Raw genomic sequence first — 20318 nt, forward strand, 5'->3', positions numbered from 1 at the left:
CTTCTACTTTAAAAGACCCTTGTGGCCCAGCCTGGCCAACATGGTGAGACTACTAAAAATACAAAAATCAGCTGGGTGTGTGCACGCCTGTAATCCGTAGCTACTCAAGAGGCTGAGGCAGGAGAATTGCTTGAACCTGGGAGGCGGAGGTTGCAGTGAGCCAAGATCGTGCCACTGCACTCCAGACTGGGCAACAGAGTAAGACTCCGTCTCAAAAAAAAAAAAAAAAAAAAAGAAAGAAAATGAAAAAGGACCCTGTGATTACATTGAGCTCAGTTAGATAATCTTGCTATGTCAGCTGATTAGCATCCTTAATTGCATCTACAACCTTAATTCTTCTTTGCCTTGTAACCTGTTACCTTCACAGTTTCGGTTCAGGGGATTAGGAGGTAGACATCTTTAGGGGAGCATTATTTTGCCTCTCTCATCCTCTGCCTCCCAAATTGTCAGAGATGCTTTTTATTCCCTCTTTATTATTTTACAATTAATCGTAGTAACAATCAATTGAATATTACCACAATTATGAGAATGTTTCAATTAAGTAAGTTTGACTGTAAATTATATATCCAGAGGTCTGGATTTATATTTTTAGGAAAAAACTCCACAATACTGAATGGCTTTATCTAAATTTAGCTTGCATTTTAAATCATATTTTTAACCACTCTGGGGATCCTAATAAAACACAAAGCATTTTAACATCTTATTGGTTTAAATTAACTAAGTATACTAATGATAACACATACCTATCAATTATATTTCATAGTTAAATCTTGAGAGAAATAAGCTTCAAATAAGTATTTTGAAAGGTTAATGCTAGGGTCTAATGTTACAATATATCTAAAATATTTCTGTGTTAATCTTACAATTTTAGAAAATCTCTAGTATGTTTAAGCTTAAAATGTTCTGGTTGTTATCACTTTTTTAGGCTCACAGAAGGGAGGCAGGCACAGATGGAAAAACGTAAGTTACTTACCCTTTTGGTCTGAAAAACACTGCAAACAGTAATCATACTTTTAGAGCATCAAATACGGGGCTGGAGCCTGGGCTGTGATAGAAATAACTTCGTCTTTTCTAATAACATGACCTTAACAGAACAGACAATGGAGACAGAGGGAAAAGCAGCAGCCAGAAATTCTTGTAAAGGTTCCAGAAGGTGAACCATGCTTTTTGGTTTTTCACCTATGTCATGCTGATATTAAGCAGTCAGATTATATAGTATTTTTGTCCCTTCCTCAGGGAAGCCTTCTCTGGTTACCCCTTAGATCAGTAGAGGTCACAAAGATATACTATCATGGAATGGTATGGTTCTCCTTCACAGCACTTATAACTCCCATTACAGACTATTTTTGTAATTGTTTAATGTGCCCTCCACGTGATTACCATGCTTACCACTGCATCCTTAGCTTCTACCACAGTGATTGGCCCCTATTAGACAATTAAAATATTTGTTGAACTGAATTGAATAAAGCTTTGGGGGGCACAGAGCAGCTGCTATGGTTTTTGTTTGTTTTTGTTGTTGTCGTTTTTGAGAGGGAGTCTCCTTCTGTTGGCCAGGATGGAGTGCGGTGGCGCAATCTCTTGGCTCACTGCAACCTCCGCCTCCCGGGTTCAAGCGATTCTCCTGCCTCAGCCTCCTGAGTAGCTGGGACCACAGGCACACACAACCACGCTCGGCTAATTTTTGTATTTTTATTAGAGACATGGTTTCACCATGTTGGCCAGGCTGATCTCAAACTCCTGATCTCAAGTGATCCGCCCGCCTCGGCCTACCAAAGTGGTAGGATTACAGGCGTGAGCCACCGCGCCTGGCTGCTATGCTGTTTTGCTTCTTTGGTATCGTGTAGCACATTCAGTACAAGTGATGTCCTCCGCTCTCAATAAGTGCTTCCTAAAGAACTCACATTTCACCCATTCAGAACCTTGCATGGTGTAGTAGCTGAAGTTACTACTTCAAGGACTCCTTCTCTTTATCTTGGGTAGAGAGGAACAATGTGAACTCAGCAAAGGGATCATGAAAACAGATTTTCTCTTATGTTACTTGTAGAAAGCTTTTAGATTTATCATTGAAAATTGCGAATTTTGAACCATATCCATTTTGACTTAATTGTATTTTAAAACAGTGGTTCTCAAAAAAGTGTGGTTCCGGGACCAACATCATCAGCATCGTGGGAACTTGTTAGAAACACAAATCCTTGGGCCTCACCACTGAACTAATGACTTAGAACAGGGGTTGGACTGGGGAATTCTGTGTTTTAACAAGTCCTCCAGGTGATTCTGACGCATGCCAGTTTGAGAATCACTTTTTTAAACCAATGTTTAAGTCCAATCTAACCTACTTAACTATTAACAGTCTACCTGGCTATCTACCTGTGGTAGTGTAGTATGTAACAGCCCACAGCACACATGCTCAATTCCAAGCCTATCTGCTCTCCGCAATCAGTATATTCCTCCTGCAATTTATCATGGTATGAAAGGCCCAGTGATACACATATTTGGTCATTTTCAAATAGTGCCTGCCAGCATAGTGGCTCACACCAGTCATCCCAGCACTTTGGTAGGGTGAGGCGAGATGATCATTTGAGCTCAGGAGTTTGAGAACAGCCCGGACAACATGGCGAAACCCCATTTCTACAAAAAAAAAAAAAAAATTAGCCAGCGGTAGTGGCGTGCTACTTGGGAGGCTGAGGTGGGAGGATCCCCTGACCCCTGGAAAGTGGAGACTGCAGTGAGCCATGACTGCACCACTGCACTCCAGTCTGGGCGACAGAGACAGACCCTGTCTGAAAAAAAAGTGCCCTTCACAGAAGCTTCCTCAGGGTATTAGCATGAGCATGTGAAAGTACAGTATGTTTATCAAACACATAAAATAAGCAGTTATAAATAACGTCAGAATAACACAAGGAGGCCAATTATCAAAATGAAAGGCTAGTTTTGCATGCTGTGCTTTGCGGAGAGAAGGAAGAGGGAGTTTTCATGTTATTACACTTTTGATAGCAGAATCCTATATTTTGGTGCAGAGGTGGCAAAATAAGGCGGGGGGTGCTGGTGCGCAGAAGCTGACAAGGTTAGAATGTGCAGCGTTTTTACGACGGACTGGCTTTACTCATTTCCTGCCTCACTTCTCTCCTATCTGTATAGGTTTTTCTTTTCGTCCTCCTCTACCAGTACGCTCCCGCCTGCCGCGCTCCGCCCTTGTGCGGCGCACGATCGGAGTCAGTGATTAAGCCGGCTCCAAGACAAAGCGGAGGCCGAGCCCAGGAAGCAAGCGCGCTCTCCGCCCCGCCTGGAGGGAGGGCCCAACCACAGCACAGCCGCGCTCACTCCTCACCCGGACGTGACCTAGTTCTCACAGAGGCCCGGCCTCTTCCGCCACAACTCCGGCCCGCGGTCCCGCCCCGTTCCGTGAATGGTCGGCCGGCCTCAGGTCAAAAAAGCGTTTAGGTGTCTGCGACGGAGCCTCCGGAGAAAGGCAAGCACGTCGCAGCCAATGAGGTGATAGAAACGCAAAGCAGCGACCAATGACTAGCTGAGTTGGGCTGGGCCGGCCGACGAATCACGAGGCTTCGCACCCGGATATGGTTATGGGCTCGGAAATCTAGTTCGGGAAAAGTGTGAGGGGCTCTTCACGTGGGGAAGGAACAGCAGGCGCGGAGGAGGGGGCAAGCGTGTGTGAGATTCAGTGGTCCATGCGTGCGTTTGTCGTGTAAGGGTCATTCCTGGGGTTTGGAGTGGGGGAACAAATCAATGTGGCTGTTTTTCCGTGGAAAGAATTCCCACTGCAGTGTCCCGGAGCCTGCGTGTGGTGGGCAAGCTCCTCAAATGGTATCTCACAGGGAATAGGGGAGTCTTGAAAACGCAGCTTCGGCAGTAGGAACATGAACCTCTTACCTAAAAGTTCCAGGGAGTTTGGCTCCGTTGACTATTGGGAGAAGTTCTTCCAGCAGCGAGGAAAGAAAGCTTTCGAGTGGTATGGAACCTACCTGGAACTGTGCGGGGTGCTACATAAATATATCAAGCCCAGGGAAAAGGTGAGGAGCGCGGGTTGGTAGCCCTTCGTACGTGCTCCGGAAGGTGGGAACTGGTAACAGGAATCTTGCACTTGGTGGACAGTGACAGGCGGGAGGACCCTAGTTGGACGCATATTTCAGCATTTCCTGCATTGTTCCTGCTAAAAGACAAACTAGAATATTCTTTCAGGCCGGGCGCAGTGGCTCACACCTGTAATCCGAACACTTTGGGAGACCGAGGTGGGAGGATCGCTTGAGCCCTGGAGTTAAAGACCAGCCTGGGGAACATGAGACCTCGTCTCTACAAAAAATGAAAAAATTAGCCGGGCGTGGTGGCGCGCATCTGTATTTCCAGCTACTCGGGAGGCTTAGGCGGGAGGATCGCTTGAGCCCAGGAGGTCGAGGCTGCAGTGAGCCATGATCACGCCACTGCACTCCAGCCTGGGTGACAGAGTGAGACCCTGTCTAAAAAAAAAAACATTTCTTTAAAGGTTTTCAGATAATAGACCTCCCACCCCAGCTCATTCTTGGATTAATAACCCTACTTGAAGAGTGACTTCCCATCTTGAAAGTATGTTCTTCTGTCACTGTGCATTCCTGTGCAACCTGCAGCAGGTGTGACTTTGTGTATGAATTTGTTTTTCAAATAGTCGTTGAGTGCGCCCCAAGTTTCAGGCACTGCTCAGTCCTTAAACTATAAGAGCATTAAGACGTAAACCCTGCACATGTTCCAGAAGTGAAACGTGATAAGTACAACAATGGGTTTGGTATAGGTGAGATTGTACTGGAGGTAGGGAAGGAGGAAGGTAGAAAACTTAACATTTGTGGGGAAGCTTTATGTGCCAAGCCTTATGTTGGGTGCTGTGTATGTGCATGTGCAATCTTTGAATTCTCATCATAAATTCAGGTGAGTGGCCATGCATACATTTTACAGATGAGGAAACTGAGGCCCCGAGAGCCACTTTTTTTTTTTTTTTTGCCCAAGATCATGTCCAGGTGGTCATGTGGGGATTTAAACTCAGGCCTGTCTGGCTCCAGAGCATATGCACATCTCTTTGTACCATGCTTTTCCAAAGATGGCAATATCAGAATTTCTAAGTTTGAATGGGAGATTGCTCCCTGGAGAGGGAGACAACAATCTGAATTTTAAGTTCGGCTTCAGAAGATAGCCAAATATCATGAGATGGAATCCGTGATGGAAGTAAGATTTGAATCCTCACAAAGTGTACTTTATTGTCTAAAGGAGCCAAAGGCATGAGTAGAGTGAGGAAATAGGGTTATTCCTGGCCTAGGATTTCAACTGTAACTCTATATTTGGATTCTCTGACTTCCTATTAATTCCTGAGTAATAAGTGCATGATTTAGAGAAAAGAACAGTTATGATTAATTTGTTTCTGCAACACAAAGCCCATTCTCATATAACCTGTATTGTAGCTGAATGTGGTTTTCACTAGCAAGTATATGTGGTGTTTCAAGATAGAGTCTAGCATCAACTCTACAATGTCGCTCTTTCTCTGGCAGTAGCGTCTCCACCTTCTGAAAATGTGACTCAGCCAAGGTGAGACTTGATTCCTTGAAGTACCTGAAGTACAGTCCTTTGCTTTGATTACCTCCCTCTTGTCTGTGAATTTTTTCTCCAGGTGCTGGTGATTGGGTGTGGCAACTCAGAACTGAGTGAGCAACTGTATGATGTGGGCTATCGGGATATAGTGAACATCGACATCAGTGAGGTTGTCATCAAGCAAATGAAGGAATGTAATGCCACCCGACGGCCCCAGATGAGCTTCTTGAAGATGGACATGACGCAGATGGAGTTTCCTGATGCCTCGTTCCAGGTGGTGTTGGACAAGGGCACCCTGGATGCTGTCCTGACAGATGAGGAAGAGAAGACCTTACAACAGGTGGACAGGATGCTGGCTGAGGTTGGCCGTGTCCTGCAGGTGGGCGGTCGCTATCTCTGCATCTCCCTGGCTCAGGCTCACATCCTGAAGAAAGCAGTGGGCCACTTCTCCCGGGAGGGGTGGATGGTGAGGGTGCACCAAGTGGCCAACAGCCAGGACCAGGTGTTGGAAGCAGAGCCTCAGTTCTCCTTGCCTGTCTTTGCCTTCATCATGACCAAGTTCAGGCCAGTCCCTGGCTCTGCCCTTCAGATCTTTGAGCTGTGTGCTCAGGAGCAGCGCAAGCCTGTGCGGCTGGAGAGTGCCGAGCGGCTGGCCGAGGCGGTGCAGGAGCGACAGCAGTATGCCTGGCTGTGCAGCCAGCTGCGCCGCAAGGCCAGGCTGGGGAGTGTGTCTCTGGACTTGTGCGATGGGGACACGGGGGAGCCACGCTACACCCTCCACGTGGTGGACAGCCCCACTGTGAAACCATCGCGGGACAATCATTTTGCGATTTTCATCAGTGAGTTGGGATTGCTCCCTCTCTTCCCTGGAGGGGCTGGCTTACAGGGGCTGGGGCTTGGGCTGGGGCTGGGGCTGAGGCTGGGCTGGGGCTTTGGTGGGATTCTGGACTGTTTTTTGTCTTGCAGGGGTTTGTACTTCCAGAGGATTAGACTACCCAAGGCATGATGAAAGGAGAGTAATAGCTCTCTAGCAACCTACTTGGAGTTGAGACCTATTCCTTTTCATCTGCCATTGCAAAGGCTTGATGAAGTGTGAGAATGGGGTTGGTAGGGAAGAGAGAGAATAGAGATAAATTTAGGAGGTCACATATGATATAGAGATGCTAGTTACTTTGTAGCATGGAGTAATGGAAGTAATGCTGGACTAGCAAGTCTAAGACATAGGTTCTAGTCCCAGCTGTAGCCTGTGAGCTGCAGGACCTGGGGAAGTTGCTGTGCTTCTCTGCAAAATTTGGAGAGGCAGCATAGGGTAGCAGCTAAAAAAGTGAGCTCTGGAACCAGACTGTTTGGGTTTCAGTTTTGGCTCAGTCATTTCCTGATGGTGTGACATTAGACAGGTTACTTTTCTTTCTCTGCCTTGATGGGATTGTAACTCTGGTGTAGTTGTGAGAAGTATAAAAGCTCTTAGAAATGGTACCTGGCCTTGGAAGTGCTGTGTAAATGTTAGCCATTATTACTGAAAGCAGTAAGTTATATCAGATTTATCTTAATAAGGATAAAAAAGATAGTAGGAGGAAGTGCTTTCAAAAGTGGAACATTGTAGACAAATGCAAAGTGTTTATGGTCTTGGTGTTACGGTAATTTGTTTCCTGGTGACTGAGCTAGTTTTTCAAGTATTCTATAATTCTGTCTGTCCATGTGTGGAAATAAATAGTGCAGTGAATACAAGCGTGGGTAGAGTCTGGGGCTAGACTGCCTGGGTTTGAGTCCCAGCTTCACCATTTACTTATTGTGCGAAGTTGGGCAAATAGTGTAACTTCTGTTTCTCAGTTTCCTCATATGTAAAAATGGGAATAATACTACTACCTGCATCTTGGACTGTTGGAGGATTCCATTAATATATATTTGTCAACAGCTTGGAGTCATGCCTGGCATGGCTTATTTGTGTTGGCATTACTGCTGTTTTTCTTGTGGTAGGTGTCTGCCTCCTTCCCCTACGGACATGCCCACACTTCTTCTCCACCCTTGGTCCTGCCTTATGTCTGATGGGCTGCTTTGCCCTAGATGTTGTGAACTAGAGAATTGTTAGCTCCTCAGTGGGTCACAGTTGGGGAAGATGCTGGTCTTGGACAGGGACTGGCTCCCTGCCGTTTGGGCCATATTGGTTGTGGGCTTGATCACTTTCCAGGACTCCCTGTAACCAAGTTCTTTTTTCTAGTCCCTCAGGGCCGGGAGACCGAGTGGCTCTTTGGCATGGATGAGGGCCGGAAACAGCTGGCGGCCAGTGCTGGCTTCAGGAGGTTGATTACAGTGGCCCTTCACCGAGGTCAGCAGTATGAAAGCATGGACCACATCCAAGCTGAGCTGTCGGCTAGAGTCATGGAGCTGGCCCCAGCTGGGATGCCCACCCAGCAGCAGGTAACAAAGCTTTCGTACGGCTTTCATGGGTCTCTGAAGTCATGTTAGCAGCCAGGGAGGCAGAGGGAGCCTTGGCAGGAGCTAGGACTAGAGTCTGTGACTCTTCATCTAATCCTGGAGGGGTATCAGCAGCTAAGGGTTAAATGGCAGGGAAACTGTCCTTTGCCCCAGGCAATGAGAGGAAAGTGAGCACAGTAGCGTCTGTGTCTGGGGGAGCCTCTCAGAGTCCATAGACATGGCAGGATGGAAATGCTCTACTCATTGCGGGCTTCAGTTCTTCCTAATTTGAGTTGCTCTGACTGTGGATTTCTCCTTCCACACTGGACTTTCTTGGTCATTTTGCTTCTTAGAACTATCATTATCTGAGGGTATAAATGGAAGAGGGCCAAAACAGCTCAGCACAGTTATCCAGGTATTCACATTGCTGGTCAGGTGTTTTACTGGGAAGGAAACCGAAGGTTTTTGCCTAAGTGGTGATATGGTATTATCAGTTAACACCAACTGTCTTGTGCTATCCTGGTCACCATGGGTAACGAACAAGTGATTTTACTAAAAGAACTTCATGATGAGGAGTTGATCCTTTTTTTTCTTTTTTGAGATAGGGTCTTGCTCTGTTGCCCAGGCTGGACTGGAGTTCAGTGGTGTGATCACGGCTCACTGCAGCCTCAGCCTCAACCTCCTGGGTTCAAACCATCCTCCCACCTCAGCCTTTGGTAGTAGCTGGGACTATAGGTGCAAGCCACCATACCTGGCTAGTTTTTTTTTTACATTTTTTGTAGAGACAGGGTCTCCCTATGTTGCCCAAGCTTTGATCCTTCTTGATAGGTGGGAAAGCAAAGGTATCTAGAGGCTTGGTGCAAATAGTAACAGATCTGAAAAAAAAGAACCCAGGCTCCTGGGTTCCTGGCCTGTGGTTTTGCCCACTAGGCTGACTCGTGTTTACAGATGAATGTAAGTTTGATTCTTCCTGGCCAACTTTGGGGTTGATGACCCCTATTTCAAGGAAGCCCAGATCCTCTGAGGAGCTTCATTTGTGGCCTCTCACCAGTGCCTGAGTCTGCAGGGTCAGGAGATATTGGTGATTATTAACTAGTCTTATAGGTCTTTAAAAAAAGAAATAAAGATAGGGGGAAGGAGTGGGAAAGTTTAGGGGGAAAGTATATTTTTCTCCTAAGGTTCAGAAAAGTGGGGGAAAAATAGATGAGAATAATCAGGGGAAAGGAATATCTCTCTAGATTTGGAGTGGTTGTTTCTCCCATGGATTTTGTTATCTTTATTCTTGTGTAGATTCCTTCTCATAATCACAGCCCCTTCCTGAGGGTTCCCTCTAGCTTTTGTTATCCTGGACTATTGAGAGTTCTTTTAGGGGTTACTGATGAGAAAAACCCCTAAAAGAACTTGGGGAGAATCAGCTGCATCTCACTAGTTGTTTGGGAGATCTTTATGTGTCCAGTTGATTTTCAAAAGATGAATTAAACCTTTGAGATCAGTTCAAAGGCTCCAGAAAAGTACTTTAATAGAATGGCAAATCTGTGGAGTAGTTGTTGTCTAGAACCGTGGTATGGGGATATATACACACAAAAGGGAAGGGGTTATAATTTCTCTTATTTCTTAAATGAGCTGCTGTTTTGACCACATCTCTGGTTGTACCTTCAGGTCCCCTTTCTGTCTGTGGGTGGGGACATTGGGGTCCGGACCGTTCAGCACCAAGACTGCAGCCCCTTGAGCGGTGACTATGTCATTGAGGATGTGCAAGGGGATGACAAGCGATACTTCCGTCGACTGATCTTCCTCAGCAACAGGAATGTGGTGCAGTCCGAAGCCAGGTTGCTGAAGGATGTGTCTCACAAAGGTGAGGTGTCATAGGCACAGTGGTGGGACCCAAGTGGCCGTGGCATGGACTAGATTTCTTGGGAGCTTGGCCGAGATGTAGGATGGACCTGGGTGTCTGTAGGTTCTTAACCATCTGGACTCTTAGGGTGTGAATAGCTATAAGCAGAGTACATTCTGTTCTTGAGCAGAGCCTGGCTCTGAAGTGATAGGGGACGTGAGTAGTGAAACCAAATACAGTGATAATCACATTAATGTCTTCGGTTTAAAGGCATCTGTTTTGCAGGTGCTCCATATACATCTGTGTATTGTTTCAATAGGCCTCTGTGAGGTGAGCCAGAACTATGGAAGTTGCAGGTGAGCCCTGCCCTCCATAGTGTGACTCACCTGTTTCAGAGGGTTTTGGATTGGCGGGTGACTTAGAGGCCTTCTAGTATACCACTGTTCAGTAAAACTGCCTGTGATGAAGGAGATGTTTAGTTCCTGAGTTTCTAATGTGGTCGCGACTAGCCATATGTAGTGCTGAGCGTTTGGAATGTGGCTAGTGTAACTGAGGAACTGAATTTTAATTTTCTTTAATTCTAATTAATTTACATTTATATTTCAACAGCCATAGGGGGCTAGTGGCTAGTATTGGACAGTGTAGATCTAAACCATCTCTTCTAGGATCCCTTTAAGTGGTCTCCCAGCTGTCACTCAGAAACTCCCCCGATGGGGAATCAATAGTTTGTTTTACCTGTGTTAGTTTGTATTTTAAAAGTGATACTTGTTCATTGAAATCACTTCAAAAGTCAAATATAGACCGCGAAAAGTGAATGCCCCTCACCTCTCCGTCTCCAGTGCATCTTCCCTGTCTGAGGCGCAGAGATTCAAGGATGGAAGCTGAAATGGCTCTCCTGATTCCCAGTTGTTCCCTTTGCCTGACTGGCCTGCCCTCATAGCAAGGCCATCTGGGAGGAGGGTGGAGACAGAGAATTCAGATGCTTGAGGTCATAGACTGGCTCTGAGCCTAGAATCAAGTTACCCAGCGAAATGGTATTTTTCTTTAGGGGTTTTCCCTGGCCAAGAGCACCCAAGATTGTTGGGTTTCTGCCCTATTGTTTGGTCACTGTGGCTGCAGGTTGGTCCAGTTTCATCTCACTAAAATCTCAGTAAAATTGCTTAAAAGAACATTTTGCCCCTTTCAGTTTGGGTTTCAGGTTTTTTCACCATTGTCATGTTCCTTGATTTCTTGGTAGCACTTTGTTCTCATGGAAAGAACGTTCTCCCTCATGGGAGTATTGGTGAGCAAGAAGGAGAGCATATTAAAAAGTGATTTAATATATCTGAAAAGCACCCCGACTCCACTCATCAGCACTTTTTACTGCTGGGGAATGCAGCTGATCCCTATGAAGACACAGCCATCCGTTTAGTATGATACCCTGGAGCAGGGAAGGGAGTGGTGAGAGGGAAAGTGGAGTGGCTTTTTAGGATTTATTTCCTTTTTTGAATACTTGTGATTTCCTTCTTCAGCAAAGGTTGGTAGTGCTACCTGTGTGGCATAGCAGAAAGATGATAGGTGATGGAGACAGGCAGTCCGAGGATCAACTCCTATCTCTACCATCTGCTGATTCCCTATTTACTTAACACTTCAGTGGCTTAGTGTGTTCATGTGCCAAGAATTGGAATGATAAGGTTGTTAGAAGAGCTAAAAAAATAAAAGTTACGGTATAGTAATTGGCACATAGCAGGTGATTAGTAACTTTACCTTTCTTTAAAAGACTTTATGAGTAATCTTTTCTCCTGTTAGTGGCCTTACATTTCTTAGACGGGAGGTACCAGGGCTCCTCAGTTGAGTTTTCCCAGGTTTTTGAGTGTGCATTTGCCATTTCCTTTTCCAGCTTCCTTGTATCCATTGTATATGTTAAATGTTTAATGACTATGTCTTTGTGGGGCGGGGTAGGGGGGGCACATCCTAATTTATAGTGTTTATCAGTTCTCTAGTATAAATACCACCACTGTATTTGTTTGTTTTACGTTGCTTATAAAGGAATACCTGAGACTGGATAATTTGTAAAGAAAAGACTTTTATTTTGGCTTATGGTTCTGCAGACTGTACAAGAAGCATGGTACCAACTTCTGCATTTGGTGAGGCTTCAGGAAGCTTACAATTATCACAGAAGGTGAAGGGAGACCAGGTACATCACATAGCAAGAGAGGGAGCAAAAGAGATGCCAGGCTTTTTTCAACAACAGCTCTAGAGTGAGAACTCACTCAATACCATGGGGAAGGCACCCAGCCATTCATGAGGGATCTGCCCCCGTGACCAGCATGGTGGCTCCGACATTGGGGATCACATTTCAACGTGAGATTTGTAGGGGACAAACATCCAGATGATTTCACTACGGCCAGTTTCAAGCTATCAACATGATGTCAACCAGTTTGCAAAATTTTAACGATTGGGTCTTTTGAGTGTTCAAGCCATCTGGAGCACACTGCTGCCAGTAACCCTTGCTTCCTGAGGACTAGTGTACTAAGCATAGGGCTTCATATCTCTTGTTTAGCCCAGAAGAAGCGGAAAAAGGACAGGAAGAAGCAGCGGCCTGCTGATGCGGAGGACCTCCCTGCAGCCCCGGGGCAGTCCATTGATAAGAGTTACCTGTGTTGTGAACACCACAAAGCCATGATCGCTGGCCTTGCCCTGCTGAGAAACCCAGAGCTACTCCTAGGTGAGAGAGATGCCACTGCCTTCCACAGAAGGGAGCATAAAGATTACAGACCTAAACAATTGGTGTCACTTGCATTGTAGTTGAAGAACAGCAATTACAAGCTGACAATGTATCTTTCTTCATCTCAACCATGTTATAAGTTAATGAGCATTCTAATTAACTGTTGCCTCAAACTCAACCTGTTATATTGAAATTGTATTGAAATATGTTAGAGTCTAAGTGGTATTTTTTCTGTTCATTTCTTTTTAAAATTAAGGTATATCATGTATTCAATGAGATATGTAAAAATACACAGATTTTAATTGTTCAGCTTTTCTGTAATGCATTATTTGAACAAAAGATGCAATTCTATCTTGAATTTCTACTTTCTGAAAAGATTCATATTATAGTTAATGCAGTCATAGCCTTATCGCTAATAGCAGGTTTGGATCTGACTGCATTAGTGAAATTGTTCATGTTTTGTCTGTGATTGTAACCGTTTTCACCTGAAGTCCCTGAATGTGCCTTCTTGGAATACCCTATACTTTTGTCCTATCTTAGTGTTGATGTATGTCACTAGAATCTCAGTTCTTAGATTTAATTCTCAGGGTCTGTCTCCTTCGGGTGACTTTTGTTGTCTTCCTTTGATCCCCCTGTGGTGGCTGTGCTCTGTGCTTAGGAGTAGGAGTTGGGCCTTTGTTTTCCTGTGATTTGTGGAACTTGAATGGCTTACCCTTACTTGGTGAGGGTGTCTGAGAAGACGGTGTGGCCTTTTGAGTCAAGGGCAAGGGACATTGCACCTCTGCTGCCTTGTAATCATGAGCAAGATTGTTTGGCCACTCTTCTTCCCTTTCCTAGAGAGGGTCTAATAATTCTTATAGTGAAGAAGTCTTTTTTTTTGAGACAGGGATTTACTCTTGCCCAGGCTGGAGTGCAGTGGTATGATCGCAGCTTACTGCAGCCTTGACCTCCTTAGGCTCCCACGTCAGCTTACCGTGTAGCTGGTACCACAGGTGTGTGTCACCATGCCCAGTTAATTTTTCTACTTTCTATAGACAGGATTTTGCCATGTTGCCCAGGCTGGTCTCGAACTCCTGAGCTCAAGTAATCTGCCCACCTCGGCCTCCCAAAGTGCTGGGATTACAGGTGTGAGCCACTGCCCCTGGCCACTTTGAGATCTTTAAGAGACAATAATAATAACACACTAGTTCATCTTCTGGATCTAGTCATCATGAATCCAGGATTCAGTTATCAGATGTCAAATTCACTCCTAGATTTCTGAAATGAGACAGGGAGACCTCTAAATCTTGTATCCCCTGAATGGAGACAGTGAGCTGACTTTCCCTTTTGCCTTCCCTGAGGCTGGTACAGAATTTTCCAGTGAACAGGTGGCAATGTGATGCTCTATTCTTTTCTTACAGAGATCCCACTGGCATTGTTGGTGGTAGGCCTGGGCGGGGGCAGCCTCCCCCTCTTTGTCCACGATCATTTTCCAAAGTCCTGCATTGATGCTGTGGAGATCGATCCCTCCATGTTGGAAGTGGCCACCCAGTGGTTTGGCTTCTCCCAGAGTGACCGAATGAAGGTCCACATTGCAGATGGCCTGGACTATATCGCCAGCTTGGCAGGAGGAGGAGAAGGTACTGCTCTTGGAGCATTTGAAGGGGTGTTGAGGGATGATTGATGCGACATTGTCAGGCCCGCAAGGGCCTCTACAGTTTATCTCTAAGAGAGTGGCATGAGTATCGTTCCAGTCTTCAGCCTGTTCATTTGTTGATATACTTATTCACTAGAGTACCAGCTATATGCTTAGCACTGTGTTAGGTGTGAATGTAAAGCAATAAGTAAAACAGGCCATTCCTGCCCTTATGGTGCTAACAGACCAGTGGGCTTTTTTCTGACCTGTAACCTTGTCATTTCCTCACCATCTTAAGAAACCTGAAGTCTAACTGGGCAAAGAAACAGAGAAGAAAAGGTGGAATGTGTGTTGGGAGGTATTTTTGTAAATATTTCAACTGGAGGTAAAGCCAGAAATAGAGCAAAACAGTATTCATGTAAGATCAGTGGTATACAACCTCAGGGTCTGACATTTGGTAATGTATGGAGACAATTTTTCATTGTCACAAATCGGGGTGGGGGATGTTGCTACTGACATCTAAACGGTAGAGGTCTAGGATGCTAGTAAACATCTTACAATGTTCAGGACGGGCACTGATGACAGAATTATCTGGCCCAGAATTTCCACAGTGCTCAGGTGGAGAAACCTTGATGCAGATGGTACTCTGTGGGAATTTTGATAGGCCTTCTGCAACTAGAATTAAGGTTCCATTTGCTCTAGTAATTTGCATCCCAGATTTAGGACAAAAACCATAAGCATAATAATTTTCTGTAAAATACTAGGGACAGTAACTCTGCTATTATACAGATAGGCTGCTGGTGAGTTTAGTACTTTCTGGAGCTCGAGTCCTTCGGGGAGAAGGCAGTTAGGTTGGTTCAGTTCTGTTCAGGACTGCTGGTCTGCTCATTCCATAACAGATACTCTGGTCTCACTAGATTAGAATATTTTCCAGTAAGGGTGTGGCAAACTAGGAGGCCTGGGACAAGTATTGAACAGATGCTATCTTAATTTTAATTGCAAACTGAATTGAATTGTAACAGTTTCGTAGGTTCCCTCTCTGAGGCTAGGGTTAGTTTAGGTGCCCAAGCCCAGATAGCTAATACGGTGAAGTATTTACAACAGTGCCATGCACATGGTAAGTACTTAATCCATGATGTTACTGCTGTTGTTATCTATAGATCAGTTTTCAATGGCTCTGCCCATCTTCTGTAACACCAAAATGTTTCAGATTACTGGAGGGCTCAAGGCTGCAAATGCAGGCTATTGTTTTCCTTGGACTTTGATGAGCCAACATGTTCTCTTTGTAAGAAACCAAAATCAGATCTGTGCTATGAACAATGATAAGCATGCAGCAGTCCTAATTAAATACTTATTAATTATTGAATAATTATGACCACAGTCTCAAAATTTTCTAAAAACCTGTCAGTGGCATTGCAGACCTACCCCTTATAAAAACAATTTAACATTATAGTAAGGAGCAGATCCATTTCTTCATCAGTTCTTTCTCACCCATTTAGCAAAATCATTTCTTTCTTGAGTCAGCTCTTGTTCATGGAACTGCAAAGATAACACTAACTGAAATTTCAGAACATTTTCTCCTATGAGGCAAAATGTGCTGTTTTCAGAGTTAAAAGTTACCATTTGCTGGGTCAGCCCTTAAAGGCTTAGTCAGCTGCTTTGTCTAGATCAGTGGTTCTCAACTCTGACTGTATTTAGAATTACCTGGAAAGCTCAAGAAAAATACCAGAGGCTTCCCATCTCTCCTCCCATCTGCCCCCTACTACCCCAGGATATTTTATTCTGTTGGTTGGCGTGTAGTACACATTAGAAGCTTCCCAAGGTGATTGTAATGTTCTGCCACAGTCAAAAGCCACTGGTGTTGATAGACTCTTAACCGAGAAATATTCATGCAAAGGGGACCCCAGTAATGTTTTTGCCTTTGGAAGGTGCTTTTAAATGTGGAAGAAGGTTCCATCTTTACTATGGGACACTCTGAACCCTGATGACAAAGACTCCCCTGGGCCATGACATCAGTGCCCTTACAGGCAAACCACATCCTCTGTGTCATCCTTCTAACTTAGTCACCATGCCCACCACTGGTAAAGAGGAGGTATAGTGTTGGAATGTAAATGGTATTATTTTATCCAGCAAAGACAAGGACTTGTTTCCTTCTTTTTCCCAGCACGGCCTTGCTACGATGTCATAATGTTTGATGTTGACAGTAAGGACCCAACACTGGGAATGAGTTGTCCGCCCCCAGCATTTGTGGAGCAATCTTTTCTACAGAAGGTTAAAAGCATCTTGACTCCTGAAGGTATGGAGAACAAAAGGTGGGAGAGGGAGGAGAGAAGGGACCATTAACAAAAATTATCTTTTTAATGAAAAATGCACAGAAGTGCGAGCTCGATCAATTTTTCCAAATTTAATACACCCATTTACTAGCACTAGACACAGAAAATTTCCAGCTTGCCAGAAAGTCGTATCTCTTATCCCCTTTCAGTAACTTGTCCTCGCAAGAGTAATCACTGTCTTAACATTTGTCCACCCAGCTTAATTTTGCCTGTTCTTGTTCTTTATATAAATGGAATCATATGGAATGTTGGAATGTTCCCTTTTTTTTTTTTGAGACAGGGTTTTGCTTTGTTTCCCAGGCTGGAGTGCAGTGGCCTGATCATGGCTCACTGTAGCCTCAAACTCCTGGTCTCAAGGAATCCTCCCACCTCAGTCACCTGAGTAGCTGGGACTACAGGTGGATGCCACCATGCCTGGCTAATTTTTTTATTTTTATTTTTTGTAGAGATAGGATCTCAACATGTTGCCCAGGCTGGTCTCAAACTCCTAGCCTCAAGCGATCCTCCTACCTTGGCCTCCCAAAGTGCTGGGATTACAGGCATGAGCCACTGAACTTGGCTGAATGTACTCTTTAAGTGTCCATTTTCTTTCACTCAACATGATGTTTGTGAGACTCATTCACAGTGTTGTGTTTACATGGCTTATTTTTATTGCTGTGTTATATCATGTAACTTAACACAATTCGCTTATCCATTCTACTGTTCGTATTTGGTTTGTTTCCTGTGTGGGTCTATTATAAGTGGTGCTGCCATTAACATTCTAGTATATGCCTTTTGATGAATTATGTTTTCAGATCTCTTGGGTATATACACAGGGTTGTAATTGCTGGATCATAGGTTATGGGTATGTTTTTGGCTTTTGTAGATGCTACCACACAGTTTTACAAAGTGGTTGTAGCAGTTCACACTCCCACCAGCATGGTGATGCTAGCTACTACATGATGCTTCCTACACGTGCTCTACTAGGCAGTGTGTTATTTAATCTTCATAGCAGTCCACTTTTTGGATGAGGAAACTGAGGTTGAAGATTTGCCAAGGTGACGCAAGGTAACAGTTGGGGCTCAAAGTCAGTGCCTTGTCACCTCAAAACTGGAGCCTTTAATCCCTATGTTAACAACCCTCTAGGTATTTTTGATTTGGTGTAAGGCACTGTGGTAACTGGCTTGATTTGGAATCTTAATTGTCAGAAGTCAAGATAACCTCGGCCCTGTCACTGGTTAATACTCTATGGTGTGTATGCCAAGAATGTAATATCCCTGTGGAGTTGGTAAATTTTACTTTCGTAGGGAATCACTTTCTATTGATTGATTGAGACAAAGTCTCATTCCGTCACCCAGGCTGGATTTTGGCTCACTGCAACCTCTGCCTCCTGGGTTCAAGAGATTCTCCTGCCTCAGCCCCACTAGCAGCTCCTGCCTCAGCCTCCCTAGCAGCTGGGATTACAGGCGTCCACCACCATGCCCAGCTAATTTTTATATTTTTAGTAGAGCCGGGGTTTCACCATTTTGGCCAGGCTGGTCTCAAACTCCTGACTTCGAGTGATCCGCCTGCCTCAGCCTCCCAAAGTGATGGGATCATAGACATGAGCCACCGTGCCCAGCTGGGAATCACTTCTTTCTCAAAGCTATTCTTTGAGAAGCTATTTGGGAAACTGAGGCTTGGAGAATGGTAAAATAACATGTGAGCAGCACAGAAGAGCAAGAAATAAGGCTGGAGTTTGTTTATGGCTCACATGCTCCCCATGCTTTTCTCCATCTGCCTTTCTATGCTGTGTATTCTCTGCAAACTCATCACCACCGTGTGTTTTAGTCCACCAGTCTCCCTGGGACAGGAATTGGTATTTTCCTCAAAGCCGATCCTTGTCTTTCATATGTCTCCTGATGTGAGGTCATTCTGACTTTTCTTCCTACCCTATAGGTGTTTTTATTCTCAACCTTGTGTGCCGAGACTTGGGGCTAAAAGACTCAGTGCTGGCTGGGCTCAAGGCAGTGTTCCCCCTCCTATATGTCCGGCGAATTGAGGGTGAAGTGAATGAGATCCTGTTCTGTCAGCTGCACCCTGAGCAAAAACTTGCCACACCAGAGCTCCTAGAAACAGCCCAGGCTTTGGAGCGGACCCTGAGGAAGCCTGGGAGGGGTTGGGATGACACGTATGTCTTGTCAGATATGCTCAAGACGGTGAAAATTGTGTGACTGCTTAGGCCAAGCAGCCCTCCTGCCTAGACTGACCTTGGACTCCCAGCCTGCCAGAGAATGAAGAAATACAACGCACAGTACTTTTGAAGCTTCGTATTTTTCTTGGTTTCACACTCAGCTACATGTGACCTCCAGCTTGGTGAGGTTGCCTGAAGATTAGGGAAAATAAAAATGTCCTTCCCATCTTGTCCTCTTCAGTACCACTTGGGTTGGTTTGTCTTTGCTTCCTACACCACGTCCTTGAGTGGAGTTCCCTGCTGAAGCCCCTAGCACACACTGCATGCCTTAACAAGTGTGTGCAAGCCCCTCAGAACTCAAGACATCCAAATTTTATTGCGTCTCTACTTATACTGGTTTGCTTTTGATTTATTCCTCTATTAGTTCTATAGGAGTGATCTCAAGTGAGATAGCAGAGCAAGATGCCAAAAGACCATAAATAGAGTAAGGTTTCTATAGATGTGAGACAGATTTGAGAGAGCATTTACTCTGTCTCCCTGTGGATGAAACTGCTGCTGAAATGGTTCCAATTTTTAGGAATCTGCTTACCCACTTCATTATTTGACAGCTTTCCTTGGTGACCCAAACCTTGTAGCCTAAGCCATTTGTCTTTTTCTCAGTGGAGGGAGTGTATGGACCTGGCCCCATGGCTTTGCATGTTAGAGACCTGGCAGACTAAAGTCTCTAGTGTTTGTTTGCTCACATTTGCTGAGTGACAGCTATGTGCCAGACTGCATAAAGGGTGGTGGCAGAAGTGAAAATGTTTAAGAATGACCAAAAACATTAGTAATGAAAGTTAATGTGTTCCAGGCATTCTTCTAAGTGGTTTACATGCACTGTCTCATTTAATCTGAGATAAAGGATACTTAAGCCCAAACTATATCTAAACCCAAATCTCACTTGGCTGGAAACATCAATCTTAACCATTTATTCAGAACCATTAAACCAATGATTCCAAGACTGGCTTGAATTTTGTCTTTCCTAATTATACCGAGGTTGACTTAATGAGCAGTGCCATGGAAAATAGGCATTGTCACCATTCACCACCTGGCTCTTCTTTCCACAGGCCCTTTAAAAATGGACCCTGACCTTTCAGTTGAAGCATACAGATGCTCTTCAGCCTACGATGGGGTTATATCCTGATAAATCCATCATAAGTAGAAAATGCATTTAATACCCTGATAACCCATTGTAAACTTGAAAAATTGTAAGTCAGAGACTGTCTGTATTTCAGTTAGGTTGTCATCCTTAGAAAGTAGTGTCAGTCTGTTAAGGAGAGGAGGGAGTGCAGAGAAGTGTTTTTAGATCTTACCCATTAGAAATACTTGGTTCTCTTTCTTTAGGAGGGGATCTTCCCCTGGAACCCCGTAACGGGAAGATTATCCCTCATGTCAGGTCTGTGTACCCCAGAGGACCTTACTTGGCAAGTCCTTTCTTTTTTCTTCCTTGTTTTTGAGACAAGGTCTCTGTCACCCAGGCTGGAGTGCATTGGCACCATCACGGCTCACCGCAGCCTTGACCTTTTGGGCTCAGATGATCCTCCCAACTCTCAGCCTTCCAGGTAGCTGGGACTACAGCATGTACCACCATACCTGGCTCATTTTTTGTAGAGACATCCACCTGCCTTGGCCTCCCAAAGTGTTGAGATTACAGG

The 20318-nt window shown here is 44.8% G+C and overlaps 1 protein-coding gene across 3 annotated transcripts, besides 4 other annotated features; it reads left to right on the forward strand.

Moving 5' to 3' along the window:
• Positions 3257 to 3551: an enhancer, noted in NCBI's record as "tiled region #13770; HepG2 Activating DNase unmatched - State 1:Tss, and K562 Activating DNase unmatched - State 1:Tss". NCBI's record gives its function as "activates a minimal TATA promoter and a strong SV40 promoter by Sharpr-MPRA in HepG2 and K562 cells {active_cell/tissue: HepG2 | K562}" and the evidence as "EXISTENCE:reporter gene assay evidence [ECO:0000049][PMID:27701403]".
• Positions 3257 to 3914: a biological region, named in NCBI's record as "Sharpr-MPRA regulatory region 13770".
• Positions 3381 to 3914: an enhancer, noted in NCBI's record as "H3K27ac hESC enhancer chr1:171750613-171751146 (GRCh37/hg19 assembly coordinates)". NCBI's record gives its function as "activates a minimal SCP1, AML or CMV promoter by ChIP-STARR-seq in naive H9 embryonic stem cells {active_cell/tissue: H9 hESC(naive)}" and the evidence as "EXISTENCE:reporter gene assay evidence [ECO:0000049][PMID:30033119]".
• METTL13 (methyltransferase 13, eEF1A N-terminus and K55) lies at positions 3568 to 19624 on the forward strand. Of its 3 annotated transcripts, none has more exons than NM_015935.5 (8): positions 3568 to 4028; positions 5648 to 6407; positions 7787 to 7986; positions 9643 to 9838; positions 12360 to 12524; positions 13925 to 14143; positions 16304 to 16435; positions 18390 to 19624. In NM_015935.5, the coding sequence occupies exons 1-8, from the start codon at positions 3876 to 3878 to the stop codon at positions 18662 to 18664; spliced, it is 2100 nt and encodes a 699-aa protein (NP_057019.3). In that variant the 5' UTR covers positions 3568 to 3875; the 3' UTR covers positions 18665 to 19624. The 3 variants fall into 3 exon arrangements, with proteins under 3 accessions (NP_057019.3, NP_001007240.1, NP_055770.1); NM_001007239.2 differs by having other exon boundaries at positions 5648 to 5947; positions 7795 to 7986; NM_014955.3 differs by having other exon boundaries at positions 3568 to 3703.
• Positions 15714 to 16913: an enhancer, noted in NCBI's record as "P300/CBP strongly-dependent group 1 enhancer chr1:171762946-171764145 (GRCh37/hg19 assembly coordinates)". NCBI's record gives its function as "activates an origin of replication core promoter dependent on BRD2, BRD4, P300/CBP, MED14 and CDK7 cofactors, with strong dependence on P300/CBP, by STARR-seq in HCT116 cells {active_cell/tissue: HCT116}" and the evidence as "EXISTENCE:reporter gene assay evidence [ECO:0000049][PMID:35650434]".
• Positions 19625 to 20318: the final 694 nt, after the last annotated feature.

This window comes from Homo sapiens, chromosome 1 (assembly GCF_000001405.40).
Source record: "Homo sapiens chromosome 1, GRCh38.p14 Primary Assembly".
In the NCBI taxonomy this organism is placed as follows: Eukaryota; Metazoa; Chordata; class Mammalia; order Primates; family Hominidae; genus Homo; species Homo sapiens.